The 16,825-nt window shown below is 39.3% G+C and overlaps 1 protein-coding gene across 8 annotated transcripts in view, besides 1 other annotated feature; it reads left to right on the top strand.

The window, feature by feature from the left end:
• DGKI (diacylglycerol kinase iota) overlaps nucleotides 1-16,825 on the top strand; it is a 465,938-nt gene that overhangs the window by 406,009 nt on the left and 43,104 nt on the right. The window lies entirely within an intron of this gene.
• Nucleotides 676-1,192: an enhancer, noted in NCBI's record as "OCT4-NANOG hESC enhancer chr7:137124520-137125036 (GRCh37/hg19 assembly coordinates)". NCBI's record gives its function as "activates a minimal SCP1, AML or CMV promoter by ChIP-STARR-seq in primed H9 embryonic stem cells {active_cell/tissue: H9 hESC(primed)}" and the evidence as "EXISTENCE:reporter gene assay evidence [ECO:0000049][PMID:30033119]".

Raw genomic sequence — 16,825 nt, 5'->3', positions numbered from 1 at the left:
CTCTGGAAACCTTTTATTACATCAGGGTGAGGAGGAGTAAAATGTTTAATACACCATTTAGCTTATAGTGCCAGAGTAAAGGCTCAGTTGATGATTAGATGTGTGGTCATATAGAATTGGCAACACAAGGTCTAAATGACACATAAACTGTTTCTATATTTATATAATAGCGCATCAGGGTCACTAAGAATAAAGGCTAAATTGTATTGAGTGCTTATTATGCAGAAGCACTGTGCTCGCATGCTCCAACTGCCTTATGTCCTTTCATCTTTCACAAATAACACTCTGTAGTCAATGTATCACCCCCAGTTTCACAGCTGCAAAAGCAGGCTCAGAGTGCTTAAATAACTTGCTTAAGGTCACATAGCTAGTAGGTGAGAGAGTTAATTTTCAGACCCAATTCTAACAATCAAACTCTTAACTCTCTTTTATCGGCCATGTCCCTGGAAAACCAAAGACATGATTGAATGGATAGAACTATGGAGATAATTCTTCCCTCCTCTAACAAGAGTATATTTACTACTGTGTAAGTTAATTTCTTTTTAATGACAAAACAGAGCAGAACAAAAATAACAACTTCTCCCTCCTGCTGGTAATGATTTGTCCCTGTAGAAAAAGGAAATACCAATGTCACATTTTCTCATAATTAGTTAACTGAGTGAAACTGAAGTTTCAGGGAAACCTGCCATGCTAAACCCCAGTGGAAACATTAAGTTTTAATGTTACATCTGGAAACTGGAGCCCTACTCCTTGTTAGAAGATAAGCTTGGCAGTGATTGATTGCACTGTCCTCTGCATTTCCTCTGTATTGAATGCCTATCACTTCGTCATTTAAATTGCTCCTGGAGCCATCTCCTGGGCCCAGGCTGCTTCCCTGGCTCTGAGAACTCATCTTCCTTTCTGTCACCTTAGCCTGCTTATTTTACAGGCTCCTTGGAATGCTGCGCTTACCGCTGCTTCACTTACTGCTGCTACCTGTGCCAGCACACTCAGGGCAGGTCATCTTCCAACTAATGTCTGTTCATTTACAAAATAAAAGGCATTAGTGGCTTCTCAAAGAAAGTGCCAGCAATCTGCTGCATGCCCCACTGGAACATCTGAGGCAGGCATCCCTCTCCTGTCCTACCTCTTAGACCTGTTGTCAACTATGGCCGTCACATTCTAGGGCAGCTTTTTTGTTGCAGCAGTAACATAGTGGACATGAATTGCAGTAATGGCTATTTGGAAATAAAATTGTCACAACCACAATCACTAGTGTAAAGTGTTCAATAATGAATCCACTGTCAGGCTTGGAGACGGCTGTACTTGGCAGTAGGTTACTGATATGGTTTGGCTGTGTCCCCACCTAAATCTCACCTTGAATTGTAATAATCCCCATGTGTCAAGGATGGGGCCAGGTAGAGATAATTGAATCATGGAGCAGTTTCCCCCATACTGTTTTCGTGATAGTGAATAAGTCTCATGAGATCTGATGGTTTTGTAAATGGGAGTTCCCCTGCACAAGCTCTCTCTTGCCTGCCACCATGTAAGACATCCCTTTGTTCTTCCTTCGTCTTCCGCCATGATTGTGAGGCCTCCCCAGCCATATGGAACTGTGAGTCCATTAAACCTCTTTCCTTTATAAATTATGCAGTCTTGAGTATGTCTTTATTAGCAACATGAGAATGGATTAATACAGTTATGCAGTGAAACACACTGTGGCGTGGCCCAAACTCTTTGAGGCATCAATGGCTGTACCTCATCAATTCACTTTTCTTTCATGTATATTACTGAAATAGATACTATTCATAAAATATATAAAATGTTATCTGCTCAGTTTAAATAATAAGCAAAACGAACTACTGTGTACTTGGCCCTCAGACTAAGAAGTAAAACATTTGTAGGAATTTGGGAGCTTCATGTCATTTGCTTCCCTAATTATGTCCCCTTCCCTCTCCTTCAGAAATAACTACTATTCTGCCTTTTTGTTAATCATGTCCTTGTTTCTTCTTGTTTTACTACATATATGCATATCTTACATATGAATGGATACGTGGATATATAACTCATATATGTATTCCTATATGTGTGTATATGTGTGTGTGTACATAGTTTTATGTATTTTGAATTTGTACAAATTGAATCATGTTGTTATTTGTTTCTTTTGTTCAAAAGAATAATTTTTGTGATTCATCCTTATGGATGAGTGCCATATGCATTTCATCAATAGTTCATGTTGTATACTACTCTATTGTATGAGTATATACCAATTTATATATCCAATCTGCTAATGAATATTTACATAAATAACAGGTTTCTTGGGGGTTTGTTTTTGTTTTGCTCTTGCAAACAATATTACTATGAACATTCTCTTTTTTGTAACTCTTCCTCGTATCCATGCGCTTAAACCTGGGAATAGCTTAAGTTAGGTGGTAGATTATACACATATTTAACTTATAGCATTATAACATGTTGTTTTCCAGAGTGATCATTTTAATATACACTCCCAACTTCAGTGGATAAGAGTTCCCATTGATCTACATCCTCACCAACACTTGATATTAACTAATTTAAAAATGTTTGCTAGTCTTGTGAAAGTATGAAATGGCATCTCAATGTGATTTTAATTTGTAGTCAATGATTACACATGAGATCAAACATCTTTTCATATACTTATGGGCCATTTGTGTTTACTCTTCTATGAAAGGTCTTTTTATTTCTTTTACTCACTTTTCCCCACCTGGTTGGTTGTGTTCTTCTTAATGATTTATGAACTTTTTAATGTATTCTATGTAAAAATTATTTTGTTTCCTATGTGTGTTGCAAATTTTCTCCAGTTTGTGGCTTATCTGTTCGAGCTCTTTTTGATGTCATCTGATGAATAGATGGATATTCTTTATTTTACTGCAGTAAAATCATTAATGTTTTCTCTATGGTTTATGCCTTTGGTATTTTTTAAAGAAATCTTTCAAAGCATAATCATAAAGATATTGTCTTGTAAAATTTTTAGAATGCTTTCTTTAATATTTGATAACTTGGAATTGATTTTTGTGGTTTGGTAAGAGATAAAGGTCAAATTTAATTTTGATTCTGTTCATATACATAACTAGCTATTTCATTTTCATTCATTTTCTTCACTGACTTACAAAGTCTGTCGTCTCCCTGTAAATGTGAGTCTCTAGGTTCTATTTTCTGTTATATTGATGAATATATCTATCCCTGTGCTATTGTTTTAGTTGTTATAACTTTGGTATGAGTCCAGATATCTGTTGGAGGATATATCCTGTAATTTGTCCTTTGGGAGTGACTTGGTTATAATTGAGTTTTGCCTGTTTCATATAAATTATAAAATTAGCGTATCAAATTTTGTGGTGAAATTTTTTATGAAAATTGCATGAATCTATAAATTTGTATAAAGAAAATTGATATTTCTATGATAATGCATCATTCTATTCCAAGCCACATCTCTTGACATTTAATTGGCTTTTTCAAATGGCTATGAATAGAGTTTTATAATTTCCTTCATGAAGGATTTGGTCATTTTTGTGTTAAATATATTCCTAGGTACTTTATATTTTTAGTGACAATTTGTATGTTGTATTTTTAAAATTATGTTTTCTAAGTAGTCTTTGCTGGCATATTGAAATGCAGTTGAATTTTAAAATCTTGTTTCTTTATCAATATTCCTGCTAAAGTTTTAAATTCATAAATCTTATCTGAAGCGTCTTTTTGTGGGAAGAGAATTCTATATAGGCAATCTCATCTACAAAGAATTTTGTTTCGTCCTTTCCAATCATTATGCTTTGTATACATATTTCTGGTGCTTTCTGCACTGGTTAAAACCTTCAGTGCAGTATTGACTAGTAACAGAGATAGTCAGCATCATTGACTTGTTCCTGATCCCAAAGTGAGTGCCATCCACAAGTCACAATTAAGTAAGAAGTTCACTGCCAGGTGGTCATGATGCAGGTGACAGTACTTGTTTTGTGGATATTTCTTATAAGGATCTTTTCCTTCGCTCTAATTTGTTAAATTCAACAGATGTTGAATTTTATTTAATACTCTTTTCTTCATCTTGAGAGATGACAATTTTTTTCCCCTTGGTCTGTTAATATGGTGCATTTTACTAATTGATTTTTAAATAGAAATCAATATCGTATTTATGAGAAGAACTCAGATTGGTTCTTATATTTACCGCCTTTATACATTGCTAGATTTGATTTGCTAATATTTTGTTTAGATATTTACATCCATGTTCATAAGTGTGATTAGTCTTTAATTTTGCTTTCTATTATGTAGTATGTATATGATATTCATAGCTTAAAATGAATTAGGAAGGGTTTCCTCTTTTATAATCTCTGGAAGGCTTTGTACAATACTTGAGCTACCTATTTCTGGAATATCTTGTATATACTACTATTATTTTCATTTTACAGATGAGAAAACATGCCTATTGAGTAAAAGGTAGAACTAGGATGTGAACTCAGGTGATCTGGATCCAGATCCTTTTCTTAACCATTTCTCTGTACTGTCTGTCAATAGCATTGCTGAAATTTGAGCTGGTGTAATAGGAAATCATGATATTATTTGTTAAATAAAGACCTCATAATTGTATGAGGTCTTTTTATTGGGTAGAAAGTGATTATTAAAGATGGGAATTTTTTATTCATGTAAGTAAGAAAAACCCTTGACACAGAAAAACATTCAAAGATATATTTTGGATCCACTTCTTGTAGCCCCATACTTCATAATCAAGAAAATAGGGTTCCAATCTCCTGTCAATAACATTCATTTTTTTAAATAGTAGAGTTCTCAAAAGGTAGCTATTCCCTTAAAGAGATATCACAAGTAGGAAGATAATTATTATGACCATGATGACTACGAGTAAAGAAGATTAAGAAAGTTAGATACTGGCTGGGTGCTGTGGCCTACACCTGTAATCTTAGCACTTTGGGAGGCCGAGGCGATCACCTGAGGTGAGGAGTTTGAGACCAGCCTAGCCAACATCGTGAAACCTCGCCTCTGCTAAAAATACAAAAATAAGCCTGACATGATGGTGCATGCCTGTAATCCCAGCTGCTTGGAAGGCTGAGGGAAGAGAAGCATTTGAACCCAGGAGGCAGAGGTTGCAGAGAGCCGAGATCGTGCCACTGTACTCTAGCCTGGGCTACAGAGCAAGACTCTGTCTCAAAAAAGTAAACTTGACTGATGTTACAGATGGAAATATGTGCAGATCTTTAATTGCATTGCTAGGTAGAGCCTACTGTACTGAGCGTCACAGTACATCACTTTGCAATGACTTTGGGCTATCATAAATATAAAGTTGCTAGAGTGTCCTTTTTTTTGCCCCATATCAGATTTTTCCTATAGAATCCCCGTTGTAAAAAACAGTGCTCATTTTTGAGGCTCTTTCTCTTCCCGCTTTAGCTCATGTTGCTTTCGAGCTTTAGAGAGTTACTTCTACTCTGCTTGCGGGACCCTCTCTAGACCTCGCCTTTCTTGTCTTTATTTAGCCATAAGCTTTCTGTCACCTCCTACCATCTCTCTGGCAGGCACCTTCATTGTCCTTCATGCAGGTCTCACCTCAATGCTCATTAATTTCCGTGTCTTGGAACCACCTCTATAGACGCTAAGGACAAACAAAGATGAATTTTCCTGACAACTTAAATGCCCATGATTTCTCCTTCCTTATTGCCTGTTTTGTTTTTTTGAGTGTGTTCCAATTTTCTTTCCTCATGGGTAATGTTGCTCTTCTTATTTGACTATAAACTCAGTGAATAGAGACATTGCCCTATTCTGTGCTGTGCCCTGGCACAGAACTGATTCTCTCTATACAAGTCTTACTGTTAAATTTGCTGCAGTATGTGGTGTTGGCAAACAGAAACTTTCATTACACATCTTTGAATCCCATTGCAGCCTCATTAATATTCTTCCCTGTTGTAGAAGATAGGTCACTCCTGGTCTTTTTCCAGAGATTCAGTTACTATGTGCTGAAAAGATGGCCTTTTGTGGTAGTCTCAGTGGGTGTTCCCTATAGACTGTGTTTTGAAAGGAAAAGAATAAAAATGATAGCATATTTTTTCTTAGTTAGCCTTCTTTCACAAATCCTAGGAAAATAGATAATTCACTGCTGATTAAAAAACAGAACAAAACAAAACAAAACAAACCCCCCTGGGCTTTCCAAAATCTGGTTATATTGCTTTCTATGTGTCCTGACCCTACTATTATCTGTCATTTACCTTTACTAAATCTCACTATTGATTGTAACCATGTAATCCTTTTGATTGTTCTGGTTTTTCTGGAATGCTTTGTTGGTGATAATTATCTAGTTGTCTTTTGAAGGTTGATTGTAAGTGGCTGGAGAAGATGAGGGAATACTCTTTTTTGTTTGTTTTTGTTTTGTTTTGAGATGAAGTCTTGCTCTGTCACCCAGGCTGGAGTGCAGTGGCACAATCTCGGCTCACTGCAACCTCCGTCTCCCAGGTTCAAGCAATTCTCCTGTCTCAGCCTTCCGAGTAGCTGGGATTACAGGCGTGCACCACCACGCCCAGGTAATATTTTGTCTTTTTAGTGGAGACAGGGTTTCACCATGTTGGTCAGCCTGGTCTCAAACTCCTGACCTCAGGCAATCTGCCTGCCTTGGCCTCCCAAAGTGCTGGGATTACAGGCATGAGCCACCATGCCCAGCTGCGGGAATACTCTTTATTAAAATTTACCTACAGCATTGCATTGGGTTGCTTTTGGGGTTATAGAATATTTAAGTTAAAATATTAACACATTGTAAAATAAAAAAGTAACGGGAAAAAAGGAGTTAGAAAAAGGAAGAGAGCTGGTGTCCAAGTCCTAGTTTACTTTTTTTTTTTTTTTTGAGATGGAGTTTCACTGTGCCACCCAAGCTGTAGTGCAGTGGCATGATCTCAGCTCACTGCAACCTCTGCCTCCCAGGTTCAAGCGCTTCTCCTGCCTCAGCCTACTGAGCAGCTGGAATTACAGGTGTGTGCTACCATGGCCGGCTAATTTTTGTGTTTTTTACTAGAGATGATGTTTCACCATGTTGGCCAGGCTGGTCTCGAACTCCTGACCTCATGTGATCCACCCGCCTCAGCCTCCCAAAGTTCTGGCATTACAGGCGTGAGCCACCACGCCCGGCCCCTAGTTTACTTTTAAGTGGAAAGATGAGAAGGGGCCATCAGACAAGGTGATGTGTCTGGCAACAAGTGAAGAGATCATAGATTTCATTTCCACAGATAAGTCAATACAGTTATTTAGGAAATGAGAAATCTCTGACTCTGGTCTTTGTGTAATATTCTATGATAGCAGAAACAAAAAATTGAATTGTGCCTATTGTTAAAAGTTTACTTTGTTTATGATTTCTACTGTATGAAATTATATGATCTGGGTTATATTAACACCCAGTGAAACCAAGGGGCTGGGTTGGTACACTGAAAGTTATTATAATATAATTCTCATGTGAGGCTAATTGTTACTATATTTGTTTTTAATTTGACTAGAAATCCCAATATTTAATCAAAAGTCTTCTCCTCTACCTAGAGCTTGTTTTATCGTTTTGGTGGCCTCCTCTTGCAAAGGACTGGCTGGTGAATGGTTTCCCTGAATTATGGACTTACCCTAAACATATCTTATCATCATTACCAGTTGCAAAATATTAGAATGTGTTGTCACTGTTTCATTTGATTCCTAGAAGGTTAGTCTTAGATATGTTACTTTAACCTGTATGCTGTAGTGCTTTGAATGCATTTTTTGTTTGCATTTTTGTTTGCCCAACCTGTCAATTATAGCTGCTTAGGTCTGGACTGTCCTGGATAAAGCTGTTAAAATATTCACCAGTCCAGCCATCTTACAAGCTAATTAAGTCAACTAAATGCTTCCTTGTTTTGCCAGACTTGTTATGTCAATCCTCAATTTCTGGGTTCATTTTGGGTGCCCTAAATCTTAGGGTGTGACTTTCTTAGCATCCTGTAACATCCATTCCCAAGCAAGCACAACTTCACATAATACTTTCCAGAAGTTCATTGCTGAAGCCTTTCCTTCACCCAGCAGAGCAACTTGATTTTCTACAACTTCCCTCATCAGAGCCACAAGAGTATGGGATATGGAGACCACTAAAACTACATCCCTTTGGCCTTACCAGGGAAATATTGGGAAGGAAGGACCTTGTATTACTACCTAATGACCCCATAGTATTGTTTGACAGTCTATACAACCAGATGAGCAGGCAAGGTAGTACCCTGCTAAAGAGACAGGCTTTCTCATATCTCATAAATATTTCACATCCTGGTTCTACATGCTGGTTTTATTCCATATTAGCCATGAGGTCTTCAGCAAATTACTTAATGTCATTAAACCTCAATTTCTTCATCCTGAAAATGAGGATGATAATAATAAGAGTATATATCTAATAGGCTTATTGTGAGGATTAAATTAGGTAATATAGGCAAAGACCTAGCATACAGTTTGCTTACAAACATCAACAAAAGAAAGAGACAGGAAGAGATGAAGTGTGCAAGAGAGAGTGAGAGCAACCATCAATGTCAGACAGCCAAAAAATGGGCATATAGATTTTTTTATAAATAGACCTCATATGTCTCATTTGCATGGGCTTTTGGGATGATTAAAGCCTATTGTTCTCTAGGATTACTTGAAATACACATTTCCTGCAGGTTACAGCCCAATGGACACAGAATGACTTGTGTATTAGTCCATCCATTCTCACATTGCTATACAGAATTACCTGAGACTGGGTAATTTGTAAAGAAAAGAGGTTTCATTGGCTCATGGTTCCACAGGCTATACAGGACGCATCGATGGGGAGGCCTCAGGAAACTTACAATCATGGCAGAAGGCGAAGGGGAAGCAGGCACATCCTACATGGCTGGAGCAGGAGGAAGAGAAAGCAAAGGGGGAGGTGCCCCACATACTTTTAAACAACCAGATCTCGTGAAGACTCACTCACTATCGTGAGAACACCGCAGGGGAAATCCACACCCATGATCCAATCACCTCCCATCAGACCCCTCCTCCATCACTGGGGATTACAATTCAACATGAGATTTGGTGGGGACACGGATCCAAACCGTATCAACTTGTATCATTCTGAGTAATTGCAACTTTCGAATGGGTGGTAGGGTTGGCAATTGCCAAAAGCCATGGTTTGGAGTCACTTGCATCAGGCCTGGGTTTCCCCCTGGAGCAGGCTGAGCTTGGCTGCCTTCTAAGGCCTCTTCTGCTCTGGACATTTACAGGCTTCTGAGCCAGGAGAGAACACTAAGCAATGAAACACAGGAGGAAAAATTAAAAACACCACCTTTAAATTTTGGAAAGTATTTTGGAGATACCTGTGCCCTGCTCTCTAAGGAGTTCCTGTAGGGATTTCTGCTTATGAATTCCAGTATATTGTTTCTCTTTGGGATGACAAATGGAGTTTCTGTTGCCACACCTTGCCACAGACCCACTTTTTGAAAAACACTAAAATCCACTTTGCAAGTGTATAAATATTGCAGGCAGGCAGCTTCCACATTCTTTGGCAAGGGAACAAAATACTATTTAATAATGCAGGTTCCAGCTTTTCTCCTGACAATGCAAAGTGCCAATGATTATTGAAAAGGGAATTTGAAATCTGCCAGAATCCACTCAGTTTTCCTTGTGTGGTTACATTTCCATCCTGTCACCCTCGCTAGTGAAGACAATTGTTTCAGCCATTGAGAAAAAAAAAAAAAAGGTATTTTATAAGATTGCAAGAAAGTGATTTAAACCATGACTATGTCTGTTAACTGTTTGCTTTGTTTCTCTGACTGTGTGCCTCTCTAGTCACCCAATCTTCTTTAGCTATCCTGTGGGCTTTTTCCTGTTGTCAAAAAGCATGGTCTACCCAAAGCCATTCTTCAAGCATCTGATTTCCCAGCTGTCTTTCTGCTATATATTTAAACTTCTAGTTCTCTTTGGGGAAGAGGGTGGTAGACTTGTGTGAGGATATAGTCTGAATGAAGTCTCCGAGTGATTTTTTGTTGATGTTATAGGGGTGGGAGTTCGGGGAGAGGAGGGAGAGTCTTTGGCCTCACACTCCCCTCTGAGTCCTGAATGGGGTTCTCTCAGCATCTCATTTTCCCGCTATTCCTGACACACTCCTCCCTGACCCTATTTTAGAGGTCCCTGTTATCAAATGGAAGTGCTTCTTATGTCTTCCTTCATTCTGCTAAGCTGACTGTTCTCTATAGAAATCTGTACCCCCAGCTTTTCTACCAATGCGAATCTTCGTTTTTGGAAAATTTCTTTTACCTTCTCTAGGAAATCATTCTCTACATCACTCTATTTCTTTAGCAATCAGGGACTACATTTGGATGTATAAGTATATACATATTAAGTTTCTAGATATTCTTTTTCTTTTTTTAAAATTATTTTTTATTTTATTATTATTATACTTTAAGTTTTAGGGTACATGTGCACAATGTGCAGGTTAGTTACATATGTATACATGTGCCATGCTGGTGTGCTGCACCCATTAACACGTCATTTAGCATTAGGTATATCTCCTAATGCCATCCCTCCCCCCTCCCCCCACGCCACAATAGTCCCCAGAGTGTGATGTTCCCCTTCCTGTGTCCATGTGTTCTCATTGTTCAGTTCCCACCTATGAGTGAGAACATGCGGTGTTTGGTTTTTTGTCCTTGTGATAGTTTACTGAGAATGATGATTTCCAATTTCATCCATGTTCCTACAAAGGACATGAACTTATCATTTTTTATGGCTGCATAGTATTCCATGGTGTGTATGTGCCACATTTTCTTAACCCAGTCTATCATTGTTGGACATTTGGGTTGCTTCCAAGTCTTTGCTATTGTGAATAGTGCCACAATAAATATACGTGTGCATGTGTCTTTATAGCAGCATGATTTATAGTCCTTTGGGTATATACCCAGTAATGGGATGGCTGGGTCAAATGGTATTTCCAGTTCTAGATCCCTGAGGAATCGCCACACTGACTTCCACAATGGTTGAACTAGTTTACAGTCCCACCAACAGTGTAAAAGTGTTCCTATTTCTCCACATCCTCTCCAGCACCTGTTGTTTCCTGACTTTTTAATGATTGCCATTCTAACTGGTGTGAGATGGTATCTCATTGTGGTTTTGATTTGCATTTCTCTGATGGCCAGTGATGGTGAGCATTTTTTCATGTGTTTTTTGGCTGCATAAATGTCTTCTTTTGAGAAGTGTCTGTTCATGTCCTTCGCCCACTTTTTGATGGGGTTGTTTGTTATTTTCTTGTAAATTTGTTTGAGTTCATTGTAGATTCTGGATATTAGCCCTTTGTCAGATGAGTAGGTTGTGAAAATTTTCTCCCATTTTGTAGGTTACCTGTTCACTCTGATGGTAGTTTTTTTTGCTGTGCAGAAGCTCTTTAGTTTAATTAGATCCCATTTGTCAATTTTGTCTTTTGTTGCCATTGCTTTTGGTGTTTTAGACATGAAGTCCTTGCCCATGCCTATGTCCTGAATGGTAATGCCTAGGTTTTCTTCTAGGGTTTTTATGGTTTTAGGTCTAACGTTTAAGTCTTTAATCCATCTTGAATTAATTTTTGTATAAGGTGTAAGGAAGGGATCCACTTTCAGCTTTCTGCATATGGCTAGCCAGTTTTCCCAGCACCATTTATTAAATAGGGAATCCTTTCCCCATTGCTTGTTTTTCTCAGGTTTGTCAAAGATCAGATAGTTGTAGATATGTGGTGTTATTTCTGAGGGCCCTGTTCTGTTCCATTGATCTATATCTCTGTTTTGGTACCAGTACCATGCTGTTTTGGTTACTGTAGGCTTGTAGTATAGTTTGAAGTCAGGTAGTGTGATTCCTCCAGCTTTGTTCTTTTGGCTTAGGATTGACTTGGTGATGTGGGCTCTTTTTTGGTTCCATATGAACTTTAAAGTAGTTTTTTCCAATTCTGTGAAGAAAGTCATTGGTAGCTTGATGGGGATGGCATTGAATCTATAAATTACCTTGGGCAGTATGGCCATTTTCACGATATTGATTCTTCCTACTCATGAGCATGGAATGTTGTTCCATTTCTTTGTGTCCTCTTTTATTTCATTGAGCAGTTGTTTGTAGTTCTCCTTGAAGAGGTCCTTCGCATCCCTTGTAAGTTGGATTCCTAGGTATTTTATTCTCTTTGAAGCAATTGTGACTGGGAGTTCACTCATGATTTGGCTCTCTGTTTGTCTGTCATTGGTGTATAAGAATGCTTGTGATTTTTGTACATTGATTTTGTATCCTGAGACTTTGCTGAAGTTGCTTATCAGCTTAAGGAGATTTTGGGCTGAGACAATGGGGTTTTCTAGATATACAATCATGTCATCTGCAAAAAGGGACAATTTGAATTCCTCTTTTCCTAATTGAATACCCTTTATTTCCTTCTCCTGCCTAATTGCCCTGGCCAGAACTTCCAACACTATGTCAAATAGGAGTGGTGAGAGAGGGCATCCCTGTCTTGTGCCAGTTTTCAAAGGGAATGCTTCCAGTTTTTGCCCATTCAGTATGATATTGGCTGTGGGTTTGTCATAGATAGCTCTTATTATTTTGAGATATGCCCCATGAATACCTAATTTATTGAGAGTTTTTAGCATGAAGCGTTGTTGAATTTTGTCAAAGGCCTTTTCTGCATCTATTGAGATAATCATGTGGTTTTTGTCTTTGGTTCTGTTTATATGCTGGATTCCACTTATTGATTTGCATATATTGAACCAGCCTTGCATCCCAGGGATGAAGCCCACTTGATCATGGTGGATAAGCTTTTTGATGTGCTGCTGGATTCGTTTTGCCAGTATTTTATTGAGGATTTTTGCATCAATGTTCATCAAGGATATTGGTCTAAAATTCTCTTTTTTGGTTGTGTCTCTGCCCGGCTTTGGTATCAGGATGATGCTGGCCTCATAAAATGAGTTAGGGAGGATTCCCTCTTTTTCTATTGATTGGAATAGTTTCAGAAGGAATGGTACCAGTTCCTCCTTGTACCTCTGGTAGAATTCGGCTGTGAATCCATCTGGTCGTGGACTCTTTTTGGTTGGTAAGCTATTGATTATTGCCACAATTTCAGCTCCTGTTATTGGTCTATTCAGAGATTCAACTTCTTCCTGGTTTAGTCTTGGGAGGGTGTATGTGTCGAGGAATTTGTCCATTTCTTCTAGGTATTCTAGTTGATTTGCGTAGAGGTGTTTGTAGTATTCTCTGATGGTAGTTTGTATTTCTGTGGGATCAGTGGTGATATCCCCTTTATCATTTTTTATTGCATCTATTTGATTCTTCTCTCTTTTTTTCTTTATTAGTCTTGCTAGTGGTCTATCAATTTTGTTGATCCTTTCAAAAAACCAGCTCCTGGATTCTTTAATTTTTTGAAGGGTTTTTTGTGTCACTATTTCCTTCAGTTCTACTCTGATTTTAGTTATTTCTTGCCTTCTGCTAGCTTTTGAATGTGTTTGCTCTTGCTTTTCTAGTTCTTTTAATTGTGATGTTAGGGTGTCAATTTTGGATCTTTCCTGCTTTCTCTTGTGGGCATTTAGTGCTATAAATGTCCCTCTACACACTGCTTTGAATGTGTCCCAGAGATTCTGGTATGTTGTGTCTTTGTTCTCGTTGCTTTCATAGAACATCTTTATTTCTGCCTTCGTTTCCTTATGTACCCAGTAGTCATTCAGGAGCAGGTTGTTCAGTTTCCATGTAGTTGAGTGGTTTTGAGTGAGTTTCTTAATCCTGAGTTCTAGTTTGATTGCACTGTGGTCTGAGAGACAGTTTTTTATAATTTCTGTTCTTTTACATTTGCTGAGGAGAGCTTTACTTCCAACTATGTGGTCAATTTTGGAATAGGTGTGGGGTGGTGCTGAAAAAAATGTATATTCTGTTGATTTGGGTTGGAGAGTTCTGTAGATGTCTATTAGGTCCACTTGGTGCAGAGCTGAGTTCAATTCCTGGGTATCCTTGTTGACTTTCTGTCTCGTTGATCTGTCTAATGTTGACAGTGGGGTGTTAAAGTCTCCCATTATTAATGTGTGGGAGTCTAAGTCTCTTTGTAGGTCACTCAGGACTTGCTTTATGAATCTGGGTGCTCCTGTATTGGGTGCATGCATATTTAGGATAGTTAGCTCTTCTTGTTGAATTGATCCCTTTACCATTATGTAATGGCCTTCTTTGTCTCTTTTGATCTTTGTTGGTTTAAAGTCTGTTTTATCAGAGACTAGGATTGCAACCCCTGCCTTTTTTTGTTTTCCATTTGCTTGGTAGATCTTCCTCCATCCTTTTATTTTGAGCCTGTGTGTGTCACTGCACATGAGATGGGTTTCCTGAATACAGCACACTGATGGGTCTTGAGTCTTTATCCAGTTTGCCAGTCTGTGTCTTTTAATTGGAGCATTTAGTCCATTTACATTTAAAGTTAATGTTGTTATGTGTGAAGTTGATCCTGTCATTATGATGTTAGCTGGTTATTTTGCTTGTTAGTTGATGCAGTTTCTTCCTAGCCTCGATGGTCTTTACAATTTGGCATGATTTTGTAGTGGCTGGTACCGGTTGTTCCTTTCTATGTTTAGTGCTTCCTTCAGGAGCTCTTTTAGGGCAGGCCTGCTGGTGACAAAATCTCTCAGCATTTGCTTGTCTGTAAAGTATTTTATTTCTCCTTCACTTATGAAGCTTAGTTTGGCTGGATATGAAATTCTGGGTTGGAAATTCTTGTCTTTAAGAATGTTGAATATCGGCCCCCACTCTCTTCTGGCTTGTAGAGTTTCTGCCCAGAGATCCGCTGTTAGTCTGATGGGCTTCCCTTTGTGGGTAACCCAACCTGCCTCTCTGGCTGCCCTTAACATTTTTTCCTTCATTTCAACTTCGGTGAATCTGACAATTATGTGCCTTGGAGTTGCTCTTCTCGAGGAGTATCTTTGTGGCGTTCTCTGTATTTCCTGAGTCTGAATGTTGGCCTGCCTTTTTAGATTGGGGAAGTTCTCCTGGATAATATCCTGCAGAGTGTTTTCCAACTTGGTTCCATTCTCCCCGTCACTTTCAGATACACCAATCAGACGTAGATTTGGTCTTTTCACATAGTCCCATATTTCTTGGAGTCTTTGTTCATTTCTTTTTATTCTTTTTTCTCTAAACTTCCCTTCTCGCTTCATTTCATTCACTTCATCTTCCATCACTGATACCCTTTCTTCCAGTTGATCGCATCGGCTCCCGAGGCTTCTGGATTCTTCACGTAGTTCTCAAGCCTTGGCTTTCAGCTCCATCAGCTCCTTTAAGCACTTCTCTGTATTGGTTATTCTAGTTATACATTCTTCTAAATTTTTTTCAAAGTTTTTAACTTGTTTGCCTTTGGTTTGAATTTCCTCCTGTAGCTCAGAGTAATTTGATCGTCTGAAGCCTTCTTCTCTCAACTCGTCAAAGTCATTCTCCGTCCATCTTTGTTCTGTTGCTGGTGAGGAACTGCATTCCTTTGGAGGAGGAGAGGCGCTCTGCTTTTTAGAGTTTCCAGTCTTTCTGCTCTGTTTTTTCCCCATCTTTGTGGTTTTATGTACTTTTGGTCTTTGATGATGGTGATGTACAGATGGGTTTTTGGTGTGGATGTCCTTTCTGTTTGTTAGTTTTCCTTCTAACAGACAGGACCCTTAGCTGCAGGTCTGTTGGAGTTTGCTAGAGGTCCACTCCAGACCCTGTTTGCCTGGGTATCAGCAGCAGTCGCTGCAGAACAGCAGATTTTCGTGAACCACAAATGCTGCTGTCTGATCTTTCCTCTGGAAGTTTTGTCTCAGAGGAGTACCCGGCAGTGTGAGGTGTCAGTCTGCCCCTACTGGGGGGTGCCTCCCAGCTAGGCTGCTCAGGGGTCAGGGGTCAGGGGTCAGGGACCCATTTGAGGAGGAAGTCTGCCCATTCTCAGATCTCCAGCTGCATGCTGGGGAGAACCACTGCTCTCTTCAAAGCTGTCAGACAGGGACATTTAAGTCTGCAGAGGTTACTGCTGTCTTTTTGTTTGTCTGTGCCCTGCACCCAGAGGTGGAGCCTACAGAGGCAGGCAGGCCTCCTTGAGCTGTGGTGGGCTCCACCCAGTTCGAGCTTCCTGGCTGCTTTGTTTACCTAAGCAAGCCTGGGCAATGGCGGGTGCCCCTCCCCCAGTCTCGCTCCCACCTTGCAGTTTGATCTCAGACTGCTGTGCTAGCAATCAGCGAGATTCCGTGGGCGTAGGACCCTCCAATCCAGGTGCGAGATATAATCTCCTGGTGTGCCGTTTTTTAAGCCCGTTGGAAAAGCACAGTATTAGGGTGGGAGTGACCTGATTTTCCAGGTGCCGTCTGTCACCCCTTTCTCTGACTAGCAAAGGGAACTCCCTGACCCCTTGTGCTTCCCAAGTGAGGCAATGCCTCACCCTGCTTTGGCTCGCGCACGGTGCACTGCATCCACTGTCCTGTGCCCACTGTCTGGCATTCCCTAGTGAGATGAACCCGGTACCTCAGATGGAAATGCAGAAATCACCCGTCTTCTGCGTCACTCACGCTGGGAGCTGTAGACCGGAGCTGTTCATATTCGGCCACCTTGGCTCGACCCCTCTCTTTTTCTTAAGAATATATGAATTCCTATGAAGAATGAAGGTTTAGTCTTGATTTCATTTCCCTTCCTATCAACTGGACAATAAAAATTTGATCTTTAATAAATATAATTGAAGACTTACTGATACACTGAAGCCTATTCTATTTCAAATTAATGTTTTATGTCTTGGGCATGCTTCAGAAGTAACCATTTACATAACAATTCTTCTAAGGCATAATGTTGCTTAATCAATTTAGCATGATATAGTGAAAGTTAA

Source organism: Homo sapiens, chromosome 7 (assembly GCF_000001405.40).
Source record: "Homo sapiens chromosome 7, GRCh38.p14 Primary Assembly".
NCBI lineage: Eukaryota > Metazoa > Chordata > Mammalia > Primates > Hominidae > Homo > Homo sapiens.
Note: the sequence above shows the minus strand (reverse complement) of the source record. Positions and strands in the feature narration are given on the sequence as shown.